At 43.1% G+C, this 27,653-nt stretch overlaps 1 protein-coding gene and 1 pseudogene across 5 annotated transcripts in view; both read left to right on the plus strand.

Moving 5' to 3' along the window:
- Positions 1–26,581, plus strand: part of SLC35E3 (solute carrier family 35 member E3) — a 35,293-nt gene extending 8,712 nt beyond the window's left edge. For 4 of the 5 annotated variants that reach the window (NR_149143.3, NR_149144.3, NM_018656.5 and 1 more), the window contains 2 exons: positions 4,270–4,352; positions 9,817–26,581. Coding sequence is in view for 3 of the 5 variants with exons in the window: in NM_018656.5 (NP_061126.2) it covers positions 4,270–4,352; positions 9,817–10,003 (270 nt within the window). In the remaining 2 variants the exon portion in view is untranslated. Of the gene's footprint in view, positions 1–4,269; positions 4,353–5,152; positions 5,505–9,816 lie in introns of those variants that run through there. The other variant, NM_001354998.2, reaches the window with a different exon arrangement.
- On the plus strand, positions 22,051–22,872 carry LOC100422438 (MAPK activated protein kinase 2 pseudogene; annotated as a pseudogene).
- Positions 26,582–27,653: the final 1,072 nt, after the last annotated feature.

Below are 27,653 nucleotides of genomic sequence, written 5' to 3' on the forward strand. Positions count from 1 at the left end.
AAGTTAGAATGTATAATCCTCCTATGTCTTAGTCAGTTCAGGCTGCTATAACAAAACTACAATGGACTGGGTGGCTTAAACAACAAATACTCATTTCTCACAGTTCTGAAGTCTGGAAGTCTGAGAACAGGCTGCCAGTATGGTTGGGTTCTTGGTGAAGGCTCTTTTCCTGCTTTATAGATGGCAGTCTTCTTGCCATATCCTCATCTGACAACAAGGAAGAGGAGAAGCAAGCTCTCTTGTATCTCTTCTTATCATAGGGACTAATCCCATTCATGAAGGCTCTGCCCTTATGCCATAGTCACCTCCCAAAGGCCCCACCTCCCAATACCATCACCTTGCGGGTGAGGATTTCAACATAGGAATTTTGGGGGGACACAAACATTCAGTCCATAATACCTTACTTATCAGGAATTCCTGCTTCCCACAAGAGTTCCCACAACTCTTGGAACACAGTCAGTGGGAATATCTTTTTTGTTGGTCGCATCAATTTATCAAGCACCTATATAGCCCTTAGTCTGTTCCCAGCACTATTCAAAGCACTATGTAAATATTAACTTATTTAATCTTCATAACTTTATTAGGTTGATGCTATACTAATACTATTTGTATTAGTCCATTTTATGATGTTATAAAAGCATACCTGAGACTAATTTATAAAGAAAAGAGGTTTATTTTGGCTTATGGTTCTGCAGACAGTACAAGAAGCATTAGTGCTGGCATCTACTTCTAGTGAGGGCCTCAGGAAGCTTACAGTCATGGTGGAAGGTGAAGGGGGAGCAGGCATGTCACATGGCGAGAGAGGGAGCAAGAGAGAGAGGGGAGGAAATGCCAGTCTCTTTTAAACAGCTAGCTCTCATGAGAACTAATAGAGCAAGAACTCACTCATTACCCTGGGGAGGGCACCAAGCCATTCATGAGGGATCCAGCCCCATAACCCAAACACCTTCTACTAGGCCTCACTTCCAACATTGGTGATCAAATTTCAACATGAGATTTGGAGGGAACAAACATCCAAACTATATTACCATTGTTATTATTTTTACTGATGAGGAAACCGAGAGATAAAGAGTTAGTAACTGGCTCGCAATCCCACAGCTAATAAGCAGAAACACAATTTGGATACATGCCTTCTGGGTCCAAAGTCTGTGTTCTCCAGTGCTCCGCTCTGCTTCCCCTAAGTAGACCAGTAGTTATTTCAAATTTATATATTTTACCATATACACTTTTTTTCTAAAGTAGAGGTCATTGGACCATCTATCAGATAATATTTCCACTTTGCAAAAGTCCTAGCCATCCTGGTTATCTGGTTTCAAACCATTGCAGCCTAGAGACCTTATACTACAAGGAGAGAGGATTTTTTTCGTAGCCTTCTAACAGGTTTTAAAATGAGGACAGCAGCAGAAAAGCCATTAAAAAAAAAAAAAAAAAAAGGCAAAGAAACCAAGACCACAGCAGGCTGAGGCCATTTAGTGTGAAGGAAAGTCATCTTCATTCCTTAATGTCCCTAGGAGGCATCCTTGACTCAAAGTAGAGGATTGTGTCAACTCAACTTTTTTTTTTTTTTTCCATATGAAGCCAGCATTACCCTAATACCAAAACCAGGAAAGGACACAACCAAAAAAGAAAACTAAAGACCAATATCCTTGATGAACATAGATGCTAAAATCCCTAACAAAATACTAGCTAACTGAATCTAATGACGTATCAAAAAGATAATCCACCATGATCAAGTGGGTTTCATACCAGGGATGTGGGGATGGTTTAACATACAAAAGTCAATAAATGTGATACACTATGTAAACAGAATTAAAAACAAAAATCACATGATCGGCCAGGCGCAGTGGCTCACCCCTGTAATCCCAGCAATTTGGGAGGTCAGGGCGGGCGGATCACGAAGTCAGGAGATTGAGACTAGCCGAGACCATCCTGGCTAACACGGTGAAACCCCGTCTCTACTAAAAATACAAAAACAAAATTAGCTGGGCGTGGTGGCTGGTGCCTGTAGTCTCAGCTACTTGGGACGCTGAGGCGGGAGAATGGCGTGAACCCGCGAGGCGGAGCTTGCAGTGAGCCGAGATCGTGCCACTGCACTCCAGCCTGGGCGACAGAGTGAGACTCCAAATAAATAAATAAATAAATAATGGCATGATCATCTCAATAGATGCAGAAAGAGCATTTGACAAAATTCAGCATCGCTTTATGATTAAAACCCTTGGCAAAATCGGCATACAAAGGACATACCTTAATTTAATAAAAGCCGTCTATGACAGACCCTCAGCCAACATAATACTGAATGGGGAAAAGTTGAAAGCATTCCCTCTGAGAACTGGAACAAGACAAGGATGCCCACTCTTACCACTCCTCTTCAACGTGGAACTAGCTTCTTTATATTCTTCAAAGTCCGTAACAAAGACCCTAACAAAGTAGAGTAATTGTGTTTTTAATGATGTGCCAAGTATCAAGTTTAAGTTTTCTTTGGAACTTAAACTTCTTAATAGTTTATATCATGAATATCATTTTATCTAAATTCAGAAACAAAATGATTCTATAACTTTTTGGATAAAATTATGGGATAGATTTGAACAGAACTTTGTATGTGTATATAGTGGTCCAACCCATTTGTCCCCCTGTGCCCAGCCAAGTTATCTATAAAAAGGAATAATATTTTTACAACTACTTTGTGGATGTATGTGAAAATTAAATAAGTGAATACATGTAAAACAGAACAATTATTGGTGCATAATAAGTGTTATGTAAGTGTAAGCAGTGATCATCATGATTTTTATTATGTCCTCAAGTAGTTTCTAAGCTCTTTGAGGGCAGGAACTTTGTACATACTGCGTTCCTCAGAAGGCCTGGCCTAACTTTGTAGATATCCAATGAATGCTTATTGAGTTAAATAAGAATAAAAATGAGGCCAGGTGCAGTGGCTCAGGCCTGTAATCCCAGCACTTTGGGAGGCCAAGGGGTGCAGATCACCTGAGGTCAGGAGTTCGAGACCAGCCTGGCCAACATGGTGAAACCCCATCTCTACCAAAAAATTCAAAAAAAATTAGGTGGGTGTGGTGGCATGGGCCTGTAATCCCAGCTACTGGGGAGGCTGAGGCAGAAGAATCACTTGAACCTGGGAGGCAGAAGTTGCAGTGAGTCAAGATTGCACCACTGCACTCTAGACTAGGCGACAGAATGAGACTCCATCTCAAAAAAAAAAAAAGAATAAAAATGAGCAATTTAATAGAAAAAGATCTCGGCCGGGTGCAGTGGCTCACGCCTGTAATCCCAGCACTTTGGGAGGCCGAGGTGGGTGGATCATGAGGTCAGGAGTTCAAGACCAGCCTGGCCAAGATGGTGAAACCCATCTCTACTAAAAATACAAAAAATTAGCCGGGCGCAGTGGCAGGCGCCTGTAGTCCCAGCTACTCAGGAGAATGAGGAAGGAGAATCATTTGAATCTGGAGGGTGGAGGTTGCAGTGAGCCCAGATCGTGCCACTGCACTCCAGCCTGGGTGACAGAGTGAAACTCCGTCTCAAAAAAAAAAGAAAAAGATCTCGAAGGAGGTATGCCGAGATGTTAATGTGTGGGTGGTTGGGATTATAAGAATTCCTTATATTCTTTTTGCTTTTCTTTATTGTCTGATGTACAATAATAATAATGCATATGTATACTTTTTCTTTAGATTAATAAGAAAAATGAACCTGGAAATTCACAATCACAGAAAGGATGTTATTGCAGTATTTTTCGTTGATTCTTGTGGAAAAAATTACGTTTTTTCTAAACACGGTTCATTCTGCTTTTTTACTTGCAATTCTTACTGTCTCCCAACCCCAAATTCTCTTTCTTTTTTTTTTTTTTTTTTTTTTTTTTTTTTGAGATGGAGTCTTACTCTGTCGCCCAGGCTGGAGTGCAGTGGCGTGATCTCGGCTCACTGCAAGCTCCACCTTCCAGGTTCATGCCATTCTCCTGCCTCAGCCTCCCAAGTAGCTGGGACTACAGGCGCCCGCCACTGCGCCCAGCAAATTTTTTATATTTTTAGTAGAGATGGGGTTTCACCATGGTCTCGATCTCCTGACCTCGTGATCCGCCCGCCTTGGCCTCCCAAAGTGCTGGGATTACAGGCGTGAGCCACCGCGCCCGGCCCTCTCTTTCTAATCTTATTTATTAATGGTTGATATTTGAATTTTTTAAAATGCCGAATGAAATGTATCTTTGCTTGATGATTATGATTGCAGTGCTTTGCATTAATGGTTCTTTTGGTTTATTTGTAGCTTATGGTGCTGCTATCTGGAGTAATAGCTTTCATGGTGAACTTATCAATTTATTGGATCATTGGGAACACTTCACCTGTCACGTATCCTTTTCATATAACTTAGAAATGCATCGTCTTTTATATTTTCCAAAACTTTTACATTCATTACCTTATTTGAATCTCACACTAACTATTGCATGGCCTAAATTGAGTAGAGAGAGTTATTTTTAGCCTTTTACTGTATCTTTACCCACTAAAGGATTTTAAAGAAATATGAACTGAAGGGGCAAGTGTGGTGGCTCACACCTGTAATCCCAACACTTCAGGAGGCCGAGGCGGGTGAATCGCTTAAGGCCAGGAGTTCAAGACCAGCCTGGATAACATGGTGAAACCCCGTCTCTACAAAAAATATATAAATTAGCTGGGTAAGGTGGTGCACGCCTGTAATCCCAGCTACTCAGGAGGCTGAGGCACAAGAATTGCTTGAACTGGGGAGTCGGAGGTTACAGTGAGCTGAGATTGTGCCACTGTACTCCAGCCTGGGCAACAGAGCAAGACTCTGTCTTAAAAAAAAAAAAAAAGAAATATGAACTGAGGAAGTGGGTTAGCTTTTTGTGTCATGAATGTTTCTGAATTTTCTTATGTAATAGGTGACCTTTTCCCTTACAAAAATTAACTCAGAGTACCATTTCTTACAGACAGTGAGATTAAATATTTTTTGAATGAATAGTGAGGTGGAGGTTTGGATTTTCAAACAATTTTCAGGTATTTCTAGTAACAAAGTAGAGGAATGGTTAACAAATAACAAAAGATAATTTCAGGCCACTGGCATCTGGCTATGGAGTATGTGTTTGTACTTATTTGGATATGGGTGTGCCTGTTTTTCTCAATATTATTTCAAGTCAAGAAATGAAGTCATTGGCCGGGTGCCATGGCTCACGCCTGTAATTCCAACACTGTGGGAGGCCGAGGCAGGAGGATCGCTTGAGCCCAAGAGTTCGAGACCAGCCTGGGCAACATAGGGAGAACCTATCTCTACCAAAAAAAGAAAAAATAGAAATGAAGTTATATGTTAAAGGTCAAATTCAACTGTCCATTTGTACCATTCTGCTTGTCATCCTGTTTCTCTTCACATTTCACTCTGCCCCCACCCTTAGGCAAATGCAACAAATGAATTTCCCCAGGAAGTAAACAAGTAGGATATTTGCCAACTATCAATAAAAAACAACAACGATAAGTTTTTTAGAAAACCAATACTTAACAAATATTTATTTTGTGTCAGACACTGTTAGAAACATTTTGTATGTATTAGTCCATTTAATTCTCACAGCAGCTCTGTGAGGTAAAGTCTGTCATTTTTGTTTATAGAAAAAATAGAGGCACAGAGAGGTTAACCAACTCACTTAAGGCACACAGCTGACAAATGGGATGTCCAGATTTGAACCCATGCAGTCTAGTCCCCAAATTTGTACATCATACTACCCAATCAAGGCATCCAAATATGTGCTCTGATTTAAAACATTAATTTATTCAATAAGTATTTATTGAATACCCACTAAACCAGTCATTGATATAAAAATATTTATATACTGAACATCTACTGTGTGCCAGGCACAGGGGATACAGTAATGAACCACATAGACAAAAGTCTTTGCTCTCACAGGCTTGAATTCTGGTGAGGAAGACTAGAAATAGAAAACAATTAAATATTTATATACAGTGTTGGATAGTGTTAACTGCCAAGGAGTAAAAATAAAGCGGGGAAGAGAATGTGAAATGTCATAGACAGCATTGAAGTTCTAGGCAGGGCTAGTCAGGAAGGCATCAGTGGGAAGACGACATTTGAGTAAAGACCTGAAGGAAATGCAGTTGCTCCATGCAGATCAGGAGGAAAGAACATTCCAGGCAGAGGCAACAGCAGGTGCGAGGCCGTAAAAAAACCAAGGAAGCCTGTGTGGTTAGAGCAGGTTGAGCAAAGGAGGGAATGTGGTAGGCTGAGAAGTAACACAGAACTGAATTGAGTAGGGCGTTTATGTAAGGACTATTAAACTGAGTAAGATGGGAAGCCATTAGCATTTTGAGCAGAGAAGTAACATGATTTTACATACATTCTAATAGAAGCACTCAGTGGGCCGGGCACAATGGCACACCTGTCATTCCAACACTTTGGAAGGCCAAGACAGGAGGATCCCTTGAGCCCAGGAGTTCGAGACCAGTCTGGGCAACATAGTAAGACCCTGTCTCTACAAAAAGTTTTTTAAAATAAAATAAATCATAGAATCACTCAGGACTCCTGTGTTGAGAATAGACTTAAGAAGGATTTCTCAACCTCTGGGCTGTTGACTTTTTGGGCTAGACGGTTCTTAGTGCAGGCCTGTTTAGTACACTGTAGGATGTTTTCAGCAGGCCTGGGCTCTACCACCAGATGCCAGTAGCATACATACCCTTTGCCCAGTTGTGACAACCAAAAATGCCTCCAAAGATTGCCCACAAAGCAGAATCACCCATGGTTGAGAACTACTGGACTGAAAGAGGCACAGGAAACTCAGGAGACTGCTACGATATTCTAATTTAGAAGTAATAGTGGCTACCAGTATGATAGCAGTGGATATAGTAAGAAGTGATTGGATTCTGGAAATATTTCTAAGAAGAGCCAACAGGTTTTGCTGCCGAGTTGGATGTGGAGAAAGAGAAAACAAGGCTGATTTACATGGTTTTTGACCTGAGCACCTGGTAGAATGGAGTTGCCATCAACTAAGATAGGATACCCAGAAGGAGGTTTGGGGCTGGGGAGGAAGATAAGGTGCTCAGTTCGGGGAGTATTTTGTTGTTGTTGTTTTTGAGACAGGGTCTTGCTCTGTCACCCAGGCTGGAGTGAAGTGGCGCGATCATGGTTCACTGCAACCTCAAACTGTTGGGCTCAAGCATTCTTCCCACCTCAGCCTTCCAAAGTGCTGGGATTACAGGTGTGAGCCACCGTGCCCAGCCAGGTGCTCAGTTTTGGATAAACAAGTCAGGGTTCAAAGGTGACGTCTCAGCAGGAGGCATCACAGGGAGTGAGCAGTATGAAGCTGTGGTTTAAAGTGATGAGACTAGTTGAGATTACCAAGCAGACAAGTAGAAGAAAATAAGTCCAAAGACTGAGTGTTGGGTTTGAGTCCAGTATTTGGAATTCAGAGAGATGAGAAACTAGGTGGAGGATGAGAAGGAGCAGTCAGAGGTGGAAGGAAGGAGGAGACTGGCACAGAACCAGAGGAAGGAGGAGGAGGCGGGGTCGGTGTCTGTGTCAGATGCCGCTGGCAGGCCAAGTTCAAGGAGACTGGTCACCATTGAGGGACTGAGTGAGGTGGAGGGCACTGGGTTTGACCAGAACATTCTGCCTGGAGTAAAGTGGGTTGGGGTTGGGGTGACAGCCTGCCTGGAGTAAAGTGCAGAACTGGAAATACCACATGTAGACTGCTCTTTTGTTGTTGCTTTTACAAAAGGATTCATAAATAGTTTCTTTAAATTTGACTTCCTTCTCGTATAAATATACTTAAAAGAGAAGCTGAGGAGTAAAGAAATTTAAAGTGTTAGAGCCAGTGCACATGAAGATAGCTCATAATTGAAAATAAAACATTATGACTATTGCCAACAACCTTGGGAAGATCCTCTGTGTCTCAGGAAGTCACCTTCATGGGATCAAGCCACCATATGCCCCTGGTGACGCAGCCTGTGCTCTCCTGAGGCACTGCTGCTGCCCAGCGGGAACCTCCAGGCTGCTTAGGTGGGCTTGGAGGTCAGACAGGTCCAGGTGTGAACACTGAGCTCTGCCACTCTCTGTGGGCCTGACTAGTGTGGGAACTCTCAGGGTCTCACTCTGATCACTTATGAAATGTATGAAGTGGAGGAAGTACGATCTATGATGTTGGGTGGTTGTATTTGAGAGAATGTGTCAAGCACCAAGCAGGTGTTTATGATACATAAGTACTGCTGTTGGTAATGTTATTATAGCTAGCACATATGGTGCTTACTATATGCTAGAAGCTTTGTGTATATTAACTTATTTAATCCTTACAATAACCGTGGGAGGTAAACCCCTTTTATATAGTGAGGAAACTAATGCACAGAGTGGTGGCTGTTTCTAGTGTTGTAGTTAGGAAAAGCACATAGGCAAACATCATACATCTGAAGAACAAGAGAGTACTCATTTATATAGAAAAAATAGTTATATTTAAATATAAGTAATTGTGTGTGTGTGTGTGTGTCTGTGTCTGTGTCTGTGTCTGTGTGATGGAGTTTCGCTCTTGTTGCCCAGGCTGGAGTGCAATGGTGTGATCTCGGCTCACTGCAACCTCCGCCTCCCAGGTTCAAGCGATTCTCCTGCCTCAGCCTCCCGAGTAGCCGGTATTACAGGCATGCACCACCACGCCCGGCTAATTTTGTACTATTAGTAGAGACAGGGTTTCTCCATGTTGGTCAAGCAGGTCTCGAACTCCTGACCTCAGGTGATCCACGCCCCTTGGCCTCCCAAAGTGCTGGGATTAGGATTAGAGGCGTGAGCCACCGTGCCTGGCCACAAGTAATTTTTAAATGGTGTGTGTGTGTATTTAGTTTGCTTTTTAAATGAACAATGATTTGGAAAAATCTTAATCCAGTGGCATGTTACTGGCAGTATTTTGGATTAGAACGTGGGCTTTCAAGTTAAATAGACCCATTCATGTTTGGACTCCACCTCTGCTACTTAATAGCTCTGTAATCTGGGGCATGTTACTTAAAATCTCTGAGCCTCTACAACCGTAAATAGGAAGAGTGAGCCTGCAGTGAAGGTAAACGTGATGCCTAACTTCGACGATTTCATGTAAATCGCCCAGCATGATGTTTGGTGTATAGTTGGTGCTCAGTATTACTCCCTCTCCCCCTCCCTCTTTTCCCTCCTTAACTCAAGTTAGCTCTTTGGTACCTTACATATCTCACTTCATTTCCCAAGGAAACACCACTGTAAAACATAATTATAAATTGCTGTACAAAATACCTTCCCTGGACCTTGTTTGAAGGTCTTTCCTTTTATATTGTATCCCTTTTCTTTTTTGGAGGTCAGTAGGAATGGTTGAGGCAGTCTTGTGTCTCTGATGAATCAATCGCTAAAACCTACCTGAAGAAACTAAGAAGTTCCCATTATTCTCTTTTTTTAGACAGTCTTGTTCTGTCGCCTGGACTAGAGTGCAGTTGTGCATTCTTGGCTCACTGCAACCTCCACCTCCTGGGTTTAAGTGATTCTCATGCCTCAGGCTCCCAAGTAGCTGGGATTGAAGGCATGTGCCACCACGCCCAGCTAATTTTTGTATTTTTTGTAGAGACAAGGTTTCACCATGATGGCCAGGCTGGTCTCAAATTCCCAGCCTCAAGTGATCCACCACCTCAGCTTCCCAAAGTGCTGGGATTACAGGCATGATCCACCACGCCTGGTCCCATTGTTCTTTACATCTGATGGGCTGCTTTTGGGTTGTTTTATGCAGTGCGAGTGTGTGTGTAAATATTAACATCTATCTTGTTATTCCTTTTTATCCTTATCCAAAAACCTCAGCTATAACATGTTCGGACACTTCAAGTTCTGCATTACTTTATTCGGAGGATATGTTTTATTTAAGGATCCACTGTCCATTAATCAGGCCCTTGGCATTTTATGTACATTATTTGGCATTCTCGCCTATACCCACTTTAAGCTCAGTGAACAGGAAGGAAGTAGGAGTAAACTGGCACAACGTCCTTAATTGGGTTTTTGTGGAGAAAAGAATGTTGTCCCAAGAAGATAAAAAATATTGTTAAGTGTGCAAGTTATTAAAAAAAAAAAATTGGGCCAGGCACGGTGGCTCACGCCTGTAATCCCAGCACTTTGGGAGGCCAAGGCCAGCGGATCACTTGAGGTCAGGAGTTCGAGACCAGCCTGACCAACATGGAGAAACCCTGTCTCAACTAATAATACAAAATTAGCCAGGCGTGGTGGCGCATGCCTGTAATCCCAGCTACTCGGGAGGCTGAGGCAGGAGAATCACTTGAACCCGGGAGGCGGCGGTTGCAGTGAGCCGAGATCGTACCATTGCACTCCAGCCTGGGCAACAAGAGCGAAACTCCATTTCAAAAAAAAAAAATTGGTGACAGACTCAATGATGGAATGATTTGTCGGAATTAACACAAAGCAGATTTTATTCATATAATGACTTTTTTTTAAGAGTCTCTTTTTTAAAAAAACTTAATTCTCTAAAACCGAAATGGTTCATGCTTCTTTTTAAAAATGATTGTATAAAATGTATGGAATGGTTAGCCTGGTGTGGTGGTGCACACCTGTAATCCCAGCTACTTGGGAGACTGAGACATGAGAATCGCTTGAGCCTGGGAGGCGGAGGTTGCAATGAGCCAAGATCGTACCACTGCACTCCAGCCTGGGCGACAGAGCAAGACACTGTCTCTCTCTCTCTCTCCATATATATATGTGTGTGTGTGTATATATATATATATGTGTGTGTGTGTGTGTGTATACATATATACACATATATACACACACACATACATATACATGTGTATATATATACCATCCCATATATATGTGGGATATATATATATATATATATGGATATGGTTATATATATGGGATGGTTTGGTTGGTCCCAGCAAAGTATATGAAAATTAAAGTTCTGTGATAATGACAAAGGAATTGCTGTTACTGTACTGCAAATATGCTGTGGGTTCTCGGTGTTCAAACTCTTCTAAGGAAGGACACACAGTAGCTCTCTGCTTGCTGATAGATGGTTTCCCAGTGTGAGATTTGTTATTTTGATCAGAGTATTCAAATCAGAATTTAAATCTAGTGTTTCTATTTTAGTTTAGCTTCCTGATTTATATAAATGAAATCTCATTTATAAAGTATAATAAAGATGACTGTAAGACAAAATCCAATTCTAAAAGTATGATTTTTTTCTAGTAGAAAATTGATGTAAGAAATCATACATTATTCATACATTTATAGGTCATCTCTTTGAGTTTTCAGTGAACTATAGAAACTATATGGAGTTAAAAAACAAAACGGCAGCCAATCTCAGTGGCTCACACCTGTAATCCCAGCACTTTGGAAGGTTGAGGCAGGCAGATCACCTGAGGTTGGGAGTTCAAGACCAGTCTGACCAACATGGAGGAATCCCGTCTCTACTAAAAATACAAAATTAGCCAGGCATGGTGGCACATGCCTGTAATCCCAGCTGCTCGGGAGGCTGAGGCAGGAGAATCGCTTGAACCCAGGAGGCAGAGGTTGTGGTGAGCCGAGATCATGCCATTGCTCTCCAGCCTGGGCAACAAGAGTGAAACTCCATCTCAAAAAAAAAAAAAAAAAATAGCCCTATGTTTAAATGGCTCAAAGAAAAGACTATAAATGGAATTGAACATGTTTGTTAGCTGTTTGAGCATTTTATATTGGTAAATTTTTTATTTTCTTATTTTTTGTCTTACAGTCGACCAGGCTGGAATGCAGTGGCACAATCATGGCTCACTGCAGCCTCAGCCTCCTGGGCTCAAGCAATCCTCCTGCCTCAACCTCCCCAGTAGCTGGGACTACAGGTGCACACCAACATACCTGGCTGATTTTTATATTTTTTGTAGAGACAGAGTTTTGCCATGTTGCTCAGGCTGATCTCAAACTCTTGAGCTCAAGCCATCTGTCTGCCTCAGCCTCTCGAAGTGCTGGGATTACAGGCCTGAGCCACCACACCTGGCCAGTAATTTCTTAATCCTACCTCCCTGCTTCTATTGCCTAGCCCGTACATTTGAGGCTTCCATGGAGCTTTCTGTGGTACTGAAACACTTGGAGTGAACTGCAAACTTGGAGTGAACTACATCCAACCTTTCTAAGGTGGCTGGGGAAAATTCTTGTACAGCAAGTTGGGACAAAATAGCCATATAGAAACAGCCATATAAGATCCCAATATAGAAAAATTGGGATATTAGAGGAAATACATGATTTCCATTTATGGAGTGCTACATGTTTGCAAAATGTATTTCTGCTTTTCATCTTCTTGACATCTGAATATTAAAAGCAGTTGTTGATAATTTCATATAATAAATTGAGACATATCATTACTCTTGTAATAATTCATTTTCTAAATGTTATTTATCAACTTTCATGGAGAAAACAACTCTTAGGAGAACAAAGACCAGCCCGGGCAACATGGCAAAACCCTGTCTGCAAAAAATACAAAAATTAGCCGGGCCTAGTGGCACGTGCCTGTAGCTCCATCTACTCAGGAGGCTGAGGTGGGAGGATTGCTTGAGCCCAGAAGATGCAGGTTGCAGTGAGCCGAGATCATGCCACTGCACTTCAGCCTGGGCGACAGACTGGACTCTGTCTCGGGAAAAAAAAAAAAAAAAAAAGGGAAGAGCGACAAAATATACCTTTTGATAAGACAGTAAATTTTATGTTTTGTGTTTTTTAACACAATAAAAATATATATACACACATATAATATACCTTTGGGGTTTTTAGGATTTTTTTTTCCTGGACTCTGAAATGAGAAGCCTCGCTGAAAATCTGTTTTGGAGAATTCCAGTTTGTCAGTCAGTCTCTTGTGTAATTAGTACGTGTGGCTTCCTTCTTTGTTTTAAATATTCTTTGGTTCTTCTCATTTTACAAAGATATATATTTTTTGTGCTAAGGACAGAGCAATTAGTTTTTACCAGATAAGCCTCGGGTATTATGTTTGTCTAAGAAACATTCTCTGTGTATGTTTAAATTGTAATTATTTCCCAAAAGCTGAGGAAAATGTTTCAGCACAGTGAGGATTTGACGTCTGCACTGAGAACAGCTGAGTTTATTTGTGCCATTTAGAAATTCGTAACTGTAGGCTGGGCGCAGTGGCTTACGCCTATAATCCCAGCACTTTGAGAGGCCAAGGCGGGTGGATCACCTGAGGTCAGGAGTTTGAGACCAGCCTGGCCAACATGGCGAAACACTGTCTCTACTAAAAATACAAAAATTAGCTGGGCATGGTGGCGGGCGCCTGTAATTCCAGCTACTCGGGAGGCTGAGACAGGAGAATCACTTGAACCAGGGAGTCGGAGGTTGCAGTGAGCCGAGACTGCGCCATTGCACACCAGCCTGGGTGACGAGAGTGAAACTCTGTCTCAAAAAAAGAAAAAAAAAAAGAAATTTTTAACCGTAAATAGAACTTGGGGAGGGTGTTATATAATATATGTGTCAGTAGGAAGGCAGTAAGAAGATTGGAGTAAGACAGGATGGGGTTACATGTATATAAATGAATAAAATAAGTACTGCTAAAACTTGAGTCTGATAAACTTTTTTGCCCCGAAGATAATCATCCCACTGAAAAGAAAACTCTGGGGAAAATATGCCAGATACTAGGACCAAGCACGGAGACAAACCAGATACAGTGCTTTCAAAGAAAACATGCTTGCTGTCCTTTGTTACCAGTGTAATTGTAATTATTGTTTATTCTGTGTTAAGTGACTGAATTTCAATTTTTACCTTTTAAAAATAAAGAGAACCTCTTTTTACTTCTGTATTGCATATGAGAGCTGATGGAAGAAGGATGGCATCTGTGTAACATATGCATGGTAACGCTGACGTGTTCAGCTGTTCATATTTGGCCTGTCCAAATAAGCAGAAATGAATGAAACAAAATTCCATCTCCTTTTAGAAATAACATAAAGGAGAAATCTATCTCTGTGAAATGAAGTAAGCATTCTTCTGTTTCACTTTTTAAAATACTTTTAAAATCTTGCTGTTTTCAACCTATTAATGACTTTTTGAAATTGTATTTCAAAGCAGAAACATTAGGTTGGGTATGGTGGCTCACGCCTGTAATCCCAGCACTTTGGGAAGCTGAGGTGGGCAGATCACCTGAGGTCAGGAGTTCAAGACCAGCCTGGCCAATATGGTGAAACCTTGTCTCTACTAAAAATACAAAAATTAGCCAGGTGTGGTGTTGCATGCCTGTAGTCCCAGCTACTTGGGAGGCTGAGGCAGGAGAATGGCTTGAACCCGGGAGGCGGAGGTTGCAGTGAGCCGAGATCACGCCACTGCACTCCAGCCTGGGCAACAGAGCAAGACTCCATCTCAATAATAATAATAATAATAACAAAGCAGCAACATTAATCAAGCACTCTGTATTCACTCCGTCAGTAAATACTGTCGGGTGAATGACTGCAGAATGGCCAAAGGTGAGAGTTTGATTAAAAGAAAGGAGACCTTGGCCGGGCACGGTGGCTCACGCCTGTAATCCCAACACTTTGGGAGGCTGAGGTGGGTGGATCACCTGAGGTCAGGAGTTCGAGACCAGCCTGGCCAACATGGTGAAACCCCATCTCTACTAAAAATACAAAAAAATTAGCTGGGCGTGGTGGTGGATGCCTGTAATCCCAGCTACTTGGGAGGCTGAGGCTGGAGAATCCCTTGAACTTGGGAGGCGGAGGTTTCAGTGAGCCAAGATCATGCCATTGCACTGCAGCCTGGGCAACAAGAGCAAAACTGTCTCAAATAAATAAATAATAAAAGAAAGGAGACCGGATTTATTAGATGTGGTCCGTTTTGTCTTTCTGTTCCCAAACTTAAACTGGATTATACCTGCTAATATCAGGAATATAATGATAATTGCATTCATTCAACAAAAATTTATTGAGCATATACTGTGTGCCAGGTACTGTCCTAGGCATTATGGATATAAAACAGTTTTTATGTAGAGACAGTCCTATATTTCCTGTGATCTTAAGGAACATTTGTCTAGTATTAGAGATAGGACTAATTAAACAAAAACAAGACAAGAATAATTAAACAGCAAACTCAATGAATGCTAAAGGGAACATCGTTCTGTGAGCACATAACAAAAGAATCTGGCCCAGGCTTGGCACTTGTGGAGGGAGTCCATGAGGAAAGTTTGAGCTGCAGTCATAGATACATAGAAGTTAGCTAGCTAGGCAGAGGGAGGGTATTGCATTCTGGAAAGAGGGAATAGCACATACAAATGCCTAGTGGTTGGAGGAATTGTGATGCTTTTAAAGAACTGTAAAAAGGATGGAGTCTGGAGACTAAATTTGGGAGTGGGGAGACATGGTGTGTCCTGCACCTGGAAATGTAGATAGACCTCAGGCCATACAATACCTGGAGGCTATGGTAAGCATCTTTAGTAAGAGCAAGGGGGAGTGTTGTGAGCACTGTCACAGTAAATTTCTTTTTTTGAAATTAGTGGAGGAGAACCAGAGAGATGCCAGGAGACCAGTTAGTTGGGAGATGACTGTAGTTAGAGATGGTGGTAGCTTCAAAGGTAGTGGAATGAGATAAGTGGAAATAATTGAGTAGCTGGAGTCAACTGGACTGGAGATGGATTGGAAATGGAGGGCATGAGAAGGGGTGAAGTTAAGGATCACACTTCAGCTGGGCACAGTGGCTCATGCCTGTAATCCCAGCACTTTGGGAGGCTGAGGTGGGTGGATTGCTTGAGTCCAGGAGTTCGAGACCAGCCTGGGCAAACATGATGAAACCCCATCTCTACAAAGAATACAAAATTAGCTGGGCATGGTGGTGTGGGCCTGTGGTCCCAGCTACTCAGGAGGCTGAGGCGGGAGGATCTCCTGAGCCCAGGAGTTTGAGGCTTCAGTGCGCCATGATCACGCCACTGCACTCTAGCCTGGGTGACAGAGTGAGTCCCTGTCTCAACAACAACAAAAAATCACACATGTCTGATTTGCGCAGCTTGATAGAGAATGGTGCCATTCTCTGAACTAGGAAACACAAGAAGAGGACTGAGGAGAGGGATGAGGCAGAGGAATATTATGGGCCTTCTTGATACTGAGATATCCAATTAAAGATGTTGGCCAGGCATGGTGGCTCAGGCTTGTAATCCCAGCACTTTGGGAAGCTGAGGCAGTCAGATCACTTCAGATCAGGAGTTTGAGACCAGCCTGACCAACATGGTGAAACCCCGTCTCTACTAAAAGTACAAAAATTAGCTGTGTGCGGTGGTGCATGCCTATAATCCCAGCTACTTAGGAGGCTGAGGCAGGAGAATCGCTTGAATCTGGGAGGCAGAAGCTGCAGTGATCTGAGATTGCACCACTGCACTCCAGCCTGGGTGACAGAGAGAGACTCTATCTCAGAAAAAAAAAAAAAAGATGTTAATCAAATAATTAGTTTATAGAGGCCCAGAACTCAGGAAAATGTTTAGTTGAGGTGGAGATAAAACAGGAGTTTCTGGGGTATGCCTGATAAGGAGGAAAACAGACCAAGATGAGCTTGCTGAAGAAGATAGCATAAAGCAAGAACAGACTATAACTGAAGTTGAGGAACTCTGGTATACAATGATAGAACATAATGCTGCAAAAGAAACAGAGAAGGAACAAAGAGGTGGGAGGAAAATGGGCCGGGCACTGTGGCTTATGCCTGTAATCCCAACATTTTTGAGAGGCCAAGCTGGGTGGATCTCTTGAGCTCAGGAGTTCAAGACCAGCCTGGGCATCATGGCAAAACCCTGTCTCTACAAAAAATACAATAATTAATAGTTTCGAAAGAAAGAAACCTGCCAAGCAAAAGTCCGGTCTCAGCCCGGGAGCTAGTAGCATGCAGTGGAACAGGTCTCACCTGGACGGCAGCACTGGGACTTCCAGTCCAGACTCTGCCATTCACTGGTATAGCCTTTGGCAAAGCCTTTGGGCAGCTTGCTCAAATCTTACTTCTCAGTTTCTTCACCTATAAAATGAGGGCTTTGATCCAAATAATTTCCAGGGGACTGTCCAGCTCCAAAATCCCCTGATTCTGCTTTTTCAGATTAAAATTATAATTTCTCATTTGCTTATAATAAAAGTAGATTGAATAAATTAATCAGAAGGGTTTGGTTTGTTTGACCTTTTTTTTAATTTTAATTTTTATTTTTTATTTTTTGAGACAGAGTTTCCTCTGTCTCCCAGGCTTGGTTGTTGTGGCTCAATCTCAGTTCACTGCAACCTCCGCCTCCCGGGTTCAAGCGATTCTCCCGCCTCTGCCTCCCGAGTAGCTGAGATTACAGGCACCCACCATCATGCCCAGCTAATTTTTTGTATTTTTGTAGAGACAGGGTATCACCATGTTGGCCAGGCTGGTCTTGAACTCCTGACCTCAGGTACTCCGCCCACCTCAGCCTCCCAAAGTGCTGGGATTACAGGTGTGAGCCACCACGCCTGGCCTGTTTGACCTTTATAAGATCAATTTTTTTGTTCACAAGCATTTCTTTACTCATAGATACCATTTTTATAACTTATATGAGACGCATTTAATGTAATCATATTACTTTCTTATATTAGAAGATAGGATTTCTTCTGATGTATCGAAGTTACTTTATACTTCATATGAAGTCATTAGGAGGTGAATTATTGCCAATTCAATGAATTATTTATGAGTATTAGGGGAATGTTTTTGTTATGCTGCTTTTAATTTGGAAAGCAGCATATCACTCAAACTATAGTAATTCACATTTTTCCATTTAACTAAAAATGTCTCGTAACTACTATGCCACAAGAACAAGCATGGATACTTATTTAACCAGCCAAGACTATGCATTTCTAAATATTTATTTTTTTCGGTTATCCGTAGACTTTTCCTTTTGAAATCCAACGATCTGTATCAACCACGTCTTCATTTTCCTTTTCCTGTTTGTCTTACTCTCCCCCCAAAAAGAGTCAGTTTCCTGTTTTCTCAATTTCTCAGTTTAAAATTAGAGCCCTATGGCAGGTGCCATGTACAGCTGCAAAGGTGGCAAGAAGCCCTGAGAAAGCTCAAGAAGCAGGTCAAGGGGGTGGGTAAGGAAGATGGGACGTTCAAGCAGAAACAAAAAGAGGAGCTAAAAGTGAAAGCCACCCCGCCACCAGCCCTCACCAGTCACAGGTGGAATTAAAGAAATCTGGCAAAAAATAAATTTTGTTATCCGTGCTTGGGGCGGTGACCCTTGACCCCATTCCTATTTAAACATCTGGATTCTCTGCCATAACATCTTTTGCCACCTATAGCTACAATAAAGTGTCGTCTTGGAGTCTGTTGTACATTTAAGAATAAACTTTTGTAAGGAAGTAAAAAAGAGTCTACAGTTCAGTGCAGGATAGGGATGGGTGGGCCTTAATTCAGGAGGTGGGAGGCTCAAAATCAATTACTCTGTTGAGGAGATGGAATCTCCTGGAATCTCAAAAAGGATTTCCTTTAGGAATCATCAGACTCATCCGACTCGTCAAGTCTTTCTCTGCTTGGAGTTTTGTTTTGTTTTTATTTTGTTTTGTTTTGGAGATAGGTTCTCCCTCTGTCACCCAGGCTGGAGTGCAGTGGTGCAATCACAGCTCACTGCAGCCTCGAATTCCTAGGCTCAAGTGATCCTCCCACCTCAGCCTCCTGAGTAGCTGGGACTACAGGTGTGCACCAACAGGCCCAGATAATTTTATTTTTTGTAGAGACGGGGTCTTGCTATGTTGCCAGGCTGGTCTCCAACTCCTGGCCTCAAGTGATCCTCTTGCTCTGCCTCCCGAAGTGCTAAAATTACAGCTGTGAAACACCGCGCCTGGAGTTTAAAAGCAAGATTAACCTTTTTGGACTGGAGTTCTTAGAGAATTATGGTGTGACTCATTGACCATATTTGTTAGGATCAGCATTTTTATATGATTTAACACAAAATGTTACAGAAAAAAGTGCAAAAATGTTGTAAGGCACAGTTGGTTTCCTAAGCAAATGCCCATTCCTATTCTTTGTTCATCTCCACTCTAGAGGCTAGAAATACTAAATTCTCTTTTTACCTCGTTGCCTTGTAGAGGGATGATCATATGACATTTCACCAATGGCACATAATTCAAAGTCTGCTGAGGATTTCTAGGGTATCCTGATTAAAAGGGACAGATGTGGCTGGTAGTGTCTATTACCACCTCCTTCCTGCCTTAAATGTAGCTGCGGATGTCTAGAATTGTGCTAATCAGCTTATGACTATAAAAGAGAGGTGAAGAGAGCCAGATCTGAAAGTGGTGAGCCGACCAGGCACAGTGGCACACCTGTAACCCCAGCACTTTGGGAGGCCGAGGGAGGAGGATCATTTGAGCCCAGGAGTTTGAGACCAGCCTGGGCAACATTGCAAAACCTGTTCTCTGTGAATAACTTAAAAATTAGTCAGGTGGCCAGGCGTAGTGGTTCACACCTGCAATCTCAGCACTTTGGAAGGCTGAGGTGGGTGGATCACCTGAGGTCAGGAGTTCGAGACCAGCCTGACCAACATGGAGAAACCCTGTCTCTACTAAAAATACAAAATTAGCTGGGCGTAGTGGCTTATGCCTGTAACCCCAGCTACTCGGCAGGCTGAGACAGGAGAATCGCTTGAACCAGGGAGGCAGAGGTTGCAGTGAGCTGAGACCACGCCATTGCACTCCAGCCTGGGCAACAAGAGTGAAACTCCATCTCAAAAAAAAAAAAATTAGGTATATTGGTGTGCACCTGTGGTCTCAGCTACTCAGGAAGCTGAAGCAGGAGGATTGCCTGATCCTGGGAGGTTGAGGCTGCAGTGAGCCATGATCATGCCACTGCACTATATGCTGGGCAACAGAGGGAGACCCTGTCTCAAAAACAAACAAAACAAACAAAAATAAGCAAAAAAAAAAAAGTGTTGAGCAGCTAAAACAATGCCGTTAGATGCCCTATCTCTTAAAAAAAAAAAAAAAAAGATAAAATAAAAGAAATTGGGTCTTGTGGCCAGGTGCGGTGGCTCACGCATAATCCCAACACTTTGGGAGGCTGAGGTGGGTGGATCACTTGAGCCCAGTAGTTTGAGACCAGCCTGGCCAACACGTCTTCTTGTTCTAGATGAAAAGTAAACCCCTATTTGGCTTACTCACTTAAAAAAATAATAATAATTAGAGACAGGGTGTTGCTATGTTGCCCTGGCTGGTCTCACTCCTGGGTTCAAGTGATCCTCCTGCCTCAGCCTCCCAAAGTGCTGATATTACAGGCGTGAGCAACCATGCCAGCCTGGCTTAGCCACTTTTAATTATTACTCGTAGCTGCAAGAATGCCAATGAGCATTTGGGGTAAAAAGGGGCAAGAATGGAGGACCTGCTCTGTCTGTCGGACTTTGGAACTCAGGAAGCAACAACTAAGCGTACTCGTTGTCTTAGTCCATTTTGTGTTGCATAGAACAGAATACCTGAAACTGGGTCATTTATAAAGAAAAGGAATTTATTTCTTACAATAGTGGAGACTGAGAAGTCCAAGGTACAGGGTCCACATCTGGTGAGAGACTTCTTGTTCCTGGGAACTCTCTGCAGAGACCCAAGGTGGCAGAGGGCCTCACGTGGTGAGGGACTTGAGCATGGTAGCTCAGGTCTCTCTTCCTCTTCTTATAAAGGCACCAGTCTCACTGGGCAGAGCCTTCATGACCCAGTCACCTTTTAAAGGCGCCATCTCTCAATATTGCCACATTGGGGATGTTTCCAGATGAGTTTTGGAGGAGACAAATATTCAAACTACAGCACTGGTTAAAAATAAAAATAGGGCCTGGCGTGGTGGCTCACGCCTGTCATCCCAGCAGTTTGGGAGGCTGAGGCAGATGGATCACCTGAGGTCAGGAGTTCGAGACCAGCCTGGCCAACATGGTGAAACCCCGTCTCTACTAAAAATATAAAAATTAGCCAGGCATGCTGGCGTGTGCCTGTAATCCCAGCTGCTCAGGAGGCTGAGGCAGGAGAATGGCTTGAACCCGAGAGGCAGAGGTTGCAGTAAGCTGGAATCACACTATTACACTCCAGCCTGGGTGACAAGAGCGAAACTCTGTCTCAAAAAAAAAAAAAAAAAAAAAAAAAAAAAAAGGCCAGACTTGGTAGCTAACACCTGTAATCCCAGCACTTTGGGAGGCCAAGGCAGGAGGATCACTTGAGGTCAGGAGTTGGAGACCAGCCTGGCCAACATGGTGAAACCCCGTTTCTACCAAAAATACAAAAATTAGCCGGGCATGGTGACGTGTGCCTGGCAGAGGTTTCAGTGAGCCGAGATCATGCCATTACACTCCAGCCTGGGTGACAAGAGCAAAACTCTGTCTCACAAAAAAAAAAAAAAGGCCAGGCATGATGACTCACGCCTGTAATCCCAGCGATTTGGGAGGCCGAGGCAGGTGGATCACTTGAGGTCAGGAGTTGGAGACCAGCCTGGCCAACATGGTGAAACCCAATCTCTACTAAAAATACAAAAATTAGCTGGACGTGGTGGCAGGCGCCTGTAATCCCAGCTACTCACTCAGGAGGCTGAGGCAGGAAACTCACATGAACCCTGGAGACGTAGGTTGCAGTGAGCTGAGATCACATCACTGCACTCCAGCCTGGGAGACAGAGTGAGACTCCGTCTCAAAAAAAAAAAAAGAAAAGAAAAATTAGTCAGCTGTGATGGTGTGCACCTGTAGTCCCAGCTACTCTGAAAGCTAAGGCACGAGAATCGCTTGAACCTGGGAGGCGGAGGTTGCAGTGAGCTGAGATCATGCCACTGCACTCCAGCCTGGATGACAGAATGAAACTGTGTCTCAAAAAGAAAAAAAAAAACAAAAACTAGTAGCTAGCCCCACCCCCGCCATTTTTCCAGACTCCAGAGAGTGGGGTGTGTGGAAGACAGGGACTGGTCTGGTGGCATGTAGATTCATAAATGGCGTCCAAACCTGGAGCTGTTGCTGGCTTGGAATGAATGAACCAGTTCCAGCCAGGAACAGACTTTCCCACCAAGTGGGAGGTGGTCTACCTGCCCTTCACCATCATCTTTGTGCTCTCTGACACTGGTCATCCTCAGTTACCCAATATACCCCTCGCCCCAGCCCCATCCCTAGTCACCCCTCATTCCTAGTAGTACCCCCAGTTCTGCTTCAATTTGATTCAGCAGATCAAGAAAGCACTATCACCAATGGTCGCAAGGTCATGCTTAAGTCTTGGAACTGGCCATCAGTGTGAAAGTTCAACAGGTATTCAGTAAGCAGATCTAGGAAAAACTCACTCTAATAACGTTCCAGGAATTTCCTAAGACCATAGTGGGAGACAGCTGCATCAGAGGCCTCCCAGTGCCATAGGACCATGGACATTGGTGAGCAACTGTGTGCTGGGAGGAAATGGCTGCTTATTGGCATGGAGTTATTGAATGCAGAACTTTTCAGCCAAGCACAGTGCTATTCTTCTGAAATCATAACATCATGAGGACATCCACTGCTTGTACTCAAATAGCATTCCTCACAGGAATGTCACACCTGTGACTCTCTCATACCTCCAAAATCTCACTGCTGTTCTGAAACGCAAGAGATTTTGCCAAGGAAATGCTGACATTCCTTCTGTCCACTCCTCTCCCCACACTGCACTGTGTGGCCCCAGAGAGGAAAGACAAGGGCTGTTACCATGGAGTTCTTGAATTTCATTATTTATCTCCCAACACAACTTTGGCCTCACCCTCTTCCCCAGCGTGAAGACGCACAACCCAAGTGGGACAGTCTGAATTTCCCCACCCTCAGGTGTCAGAGAATCAGAGGAAGTCATGCTGCTTATCTAGAATCTGCTAGAAATGGAGTTCACCCAAAGAATGACCATCACAGAATTTATGAACTACTCCTAGATCATGCAATTAATAAGTCCTCTAGCCCAGTACCACTCAAGGTAGGGTCTGGGCCCCAGTACCAGTCCATAAACAGTTTGCTGCCGGCTGGGTGTGGTGGCTCATGCCTATAATCCCAGCACTTTGGGAGGCCAAGGTGGGCGGATCACTTGAGATCAGGAGTTTAAGACCAGCCTGGCCAACATGGTGAATCCCCGTCTCTATAAAAAGTACAAAAATTAGCCAGGTATGGTGGTATGTGCCTGTGATCCCAGCTACTCGGGAGGCTGAGGTGGGAGGATCACCCAAGCCCAGGGAGGTCGAGGCTGCAATGAGCCACCGTGATGGTGAACTGCACTCCAGCTTGAGTGACAGAGTGAGATCCTGTCTCAAAAAAAAGGGCGGGGTGCGGGGATTTTGGGTAGTAATATCAATAGCAGACAAAATAGAATTTGAGGCAAAAAGTGTTAATAGGATCAAGATTTTTTTTTTTAAAGAACAATCCACCACAAACATAGCAATCATGAACAACCCAGAAAACAGCATGAAAATTAAAAGGAAAATTGAGATTTTAAATACTTCTAATAGAGGTGATAGAGCAGGCAGCAGGGAAGTTAGTAACCTTGTCTAATAGGTTATCTGTACTCAACAAGCCTAGAACACACACTCCTTTCAAGTACCTGAGGAATGTTTATAACAGTAAAGATGAACAGAGATCATATTATAAATAGTTGGAAGATTTATTTTTTATTTTGTTTTTTAGAAACAGGGTCTTGCCGGCCAGGCGTGGTGACTCATGCCTGTAATCTCAGCACTTTGCAAGGCCGAAGCGGGTGGATCACCTGAGGTCAGGAGTTTGAGACCAGCCTAGCCAACATGGCGAAACCTCGTCTCTACTAAAAATACAAAAATTAGCTGGGCGTAGTAGTGGGTGCCTATAATCCCAGCTACTTGGGAGGCTGAGGCAGGAGAATTGCTTGAACCGGGAGGGTAGAGGTTGCAGTGAACCATGGTCGCACCACTTCACTCCAGCCTGGACAAAAGAGCAAAACTCCATCTCCAAAAAAAAAAAAGAAAAGAAACTGAGTCTTATGGCTGGATGCAGTGGCTCACGCCTGTAATCCCAGCACTTTGGGAGGCCAAGGTAGGTGAATCACTTGAGCCCAGGAGTTTGAGACCAACCTGGCCAACATGGCGAAACTCCATCTCTACTAAAAATACAAAAGTTAGTTGGGCGTGGTGGTGTGCCCCTGTAATCCCAGCTACTCAGGAGGCTGAGGCAGGAGAATTGCTTGAACCCAGGAGGTGGAGGTTGCAATGAGCCACTGCACTCCAGACTGCATTCCAGCCTGGGCGACAGAACAAGACTCTGTCTCAAAAACAAAAACAAAAACAAAAAACTAGGTCTTTCTCTGTGGCCGACGCTGGAGTGCAGTGCCTTTTTGCAGGCACAATCATAGTGCACTGCAGCCCTGAACTCCTTGGCTCAAGTAATCCTCCTGCCTCAGCCTCCTGAGTAACTGGGACTATAGGTATGCCCTACCATGTGTGGCTATATTTGGTAGGTTTTAAATGAAAAGATTTTTGTTTTCTGTACATTTATTTAAATTTAAAAAGTATTTAAGCCATCTTTAAGAAACTTAATGTTGAGAATGTTCTAGAATAGTGAGTCATTAGATTTCAAAATATTGGTATTGAACCAGATGGTCTTGTGGCTTCAAAGAAGTCTCTGAAGTCACTCCAGGTGATATTAAAAGTACAGTGCTAGGACTGTCTGACCCAAAATATGTGGCTGGAACCAGAAAGGATATAAGCATGGTTTGAGAAGGAAAAAAAGCTTAACAAGGGGGAATTGAGGAAGCCATTTGCAAAACTTCACAGGAAAGTTAAATGAATGAATGAATAAAATGTGATTAATAAATATGGGGGCCAGGTACAGTGGCCTGCATCTGTAATCCCAGTGTTTTGGGAGGCCAAGGCAGGAGGTGCACTTGAGGCCAGGAGTTCAAGACCTGAGCAACACAGCAAGACCCCCGTCTCTATAAAAAATTTTATAAAATTAGCCGGGCATGGTGGTAGACACCTGTAGTCCCAGCTACTTGGGAAGATGAGGCAGAGGATTGCCTGAGCCCAGGAGTTTGAGGTTATAGTGAGCCATGACTGTGCCACTGCACTCCAGCCTGGGCAACAAAGTGAGACCCTGACTCTAAAAGTAAAATTAAATTAAATTAAAAATAAGTGGATAAATATGGGTTATGCTGTGAAGCATAGAGGGAGGGATGAAGAGGGACATTTTAAGCCACTTCTCTGGCCCCAGTTTCTAACATTATTTCTAAAATGCAGGATATCTGGTTATCCCAAACCAGTTATATTTTTATTTAAATTTGCTCAAAATTTTTATTTTTAAATCTTAACAATTTCTAAAATCACACTTTTTAATTTATTTTGTATTTTTTTGAGACAGGGTCTTACTTTGTCACCCAGGCTGGAGTGCAGGGGCACAAACATGGCTCACTGCAGCCTCGACCTCCCAGCCTCAAGTGATACTCCCGCCTCAGCCTCCCAAGTAGCTGGGACTACAGGCATGCACCACCACACCTGGCTAATTTTTTTATATTTTGTTTGTAGAGATGGGGTTTCACCATGTTGCCCTGTCTAGTCTTGAAACCTTGAGCTCAAGAGATCTGCCCACCTTGGCCTCTCAAAGTGCTGGGATTACAGGCGTGAGCCGTCCTGCCTGGCCTAGTCACACTTTTTTTTTTTTTTTTTTTTTTGGAGACAGAGTTTCACTCTTGTTGCCCAGGCTGGAGTGCAATGGCATGATCTGGACTCACCGCAACCTCCGCCTCCTGGGTTCAAGCGATTCTCCTGCCTCAGCCACCCAAGTAGCTGGGATTATAGGCATGCACCACTATGCCCGGCTAATTTTGTATTTTTAGTAGAGACAGGGCTTCTCCATGATGGTCAGGCTGGTCTCGAACTCCTGACCTCAGGTGATCTGCCCGCCTCGGCCTCCCAGTGTTGGGATTATAGGCATGAGCCACCGCGCCCAGCTAGTCACGCTTTTTAGTCAAGATTTTTAAAAATGTCTGCATGCTTTTCTGAGAGCCTTACCTCTCTTGTGATTTGAAGCATTTTCTCCACCAGGCCTAAGGCTGAAGGAATGTAGTTTGCTGCCCTTCAGTCTATGACAAGGAGGTCTGTTTCCTCCAACGCCTGCCTTTTAGACAGAGTGTTGATTCACAGGGAACAGAGGCAGACCTGGGGCTGACACTGAATGAATGCTACTCACAGCAGTAAGGGGAAAAGTGGGAAAGTCTTGTTTATGCTGTGGCTGATGTGGATGTCTTTGGGGAAGAAAAATTCAGGATGAGTTTATTGAGAGCATTATTTTTGAAAGTATAAGATTTGTGATTGTAATATAAACTTAAATCACTTTGGGAATGAATTTAAAAAATCTATGTGACACAAATTAATCATCATTCTCATTGTAAATTTGGCAAAGTATTTGTAATTAGGAATATCTGTCATACTGGCACTGGGCAAATTATTCTGAATGTTCCCATGCTGAAGATTCTCTCAAAAAGGGAAAAAACAAGATCCTTTGTTTGTATAAGTACAATCAGTTTGCTGAATAAAACCTTTATAGCTACAATTATAACAGGATTGTTTCTACATTTTAGCTTGGAGATCCCATGACTACTCTGTTTTGCTAATAATAAACCAATACAGTGCTACAGAGATGTTTCTTTCATTAATGTGTTGCCTTCCCTTGCCTTGCCTTGCCTTGCCCTGCCTTGCCCTGCCTTGCCCTGCCTTGCCCTGTCTTGCCTTGCCTTGCCTTGCTTTCTTTTTTTGAGACAGGGTCTCACTCCATTGCCCAAAATGGGATGCAGTGGCATGATCTCGGTTCACTGCAATCTCTACCTCCCAGGCTCAAGTGATCCTGCCACCTCAACCTTCCAAGTAGCTGGGACCACAGGCATGCGCCACCATGCCAGGTTAATTTTTTGTATTTTTTTTTGGTAGAGATGGGGTTTCTCCATGTTGCCTAGGCTCATCTTGAACTCCTGAGCTCAGGCGATCTGCCTGCCTCGGCCTCCCAAAGTGCTGGGATTATAGGAGTGAATCACCGTACCCGGCCTCATTACTATGTTTTCTAAAGTTGTTTCATTCCTACCTTTCTCCTCGAAGCCCCTCAGCTTCAAATATTCAACAAACCATGATTCTGACCTCTATGCTTTCTTTATTCTCTTCGTAGCTCTGTGAGAGCAAAAAACTTACCTGTCCCCAGTGGGTAAAACAGTGTTGCACACAGTTTAGACATTGTCTTTATCATCTCTAAGCTGATAATTCTCATATCCAAGTCTTTAGTTCTATGCTCTTGTCCATAGTTTACTGTTGTTCTTTCAAGAAAAAATGGTGTCCCATGAAAAAAGCAGTGTACTGCAGCACAGAATTCAATCTCTAGGAAGGTTATTCTTGAGATAACCAATGTATATACTTTGGTGTGCAGAAGTGCTTATATGTGCTTTCCATTGTATCATACAGAGTACTAAAAAGATGTGCACTCAAGGATCAAGACTAAATAAAATTAATAACTGTGACTGCTTCTTCAAGGACGTTCTTCAGTGAATTTTAAGAAAAACTGGCTTTTTAAACTGTTGAGTACATAGTGATGAACAATGACTGCTAATACAGCTGGTGCCATGGCTTTGATTCATGCCAAGGTAACAACAGTTTTACCTACCATTGCTTTTGTGCCATCATGCAAAGGTCCAAAAAGTGCAAAAAGCAAGTAAAATCTTAGT

This window comes from Homo sapiens, chromosome 12, assembly GCF_000001405.40.
Source record: "Homo sapiens chromosome 12, GRCh38.p14 Primary Assembly".
NCBI classification, from domain to species: Eukaryota; Metazoa; Chordata; class Mammalia; order Primates; family Hominidae; genus Homo; species Homo sapiens.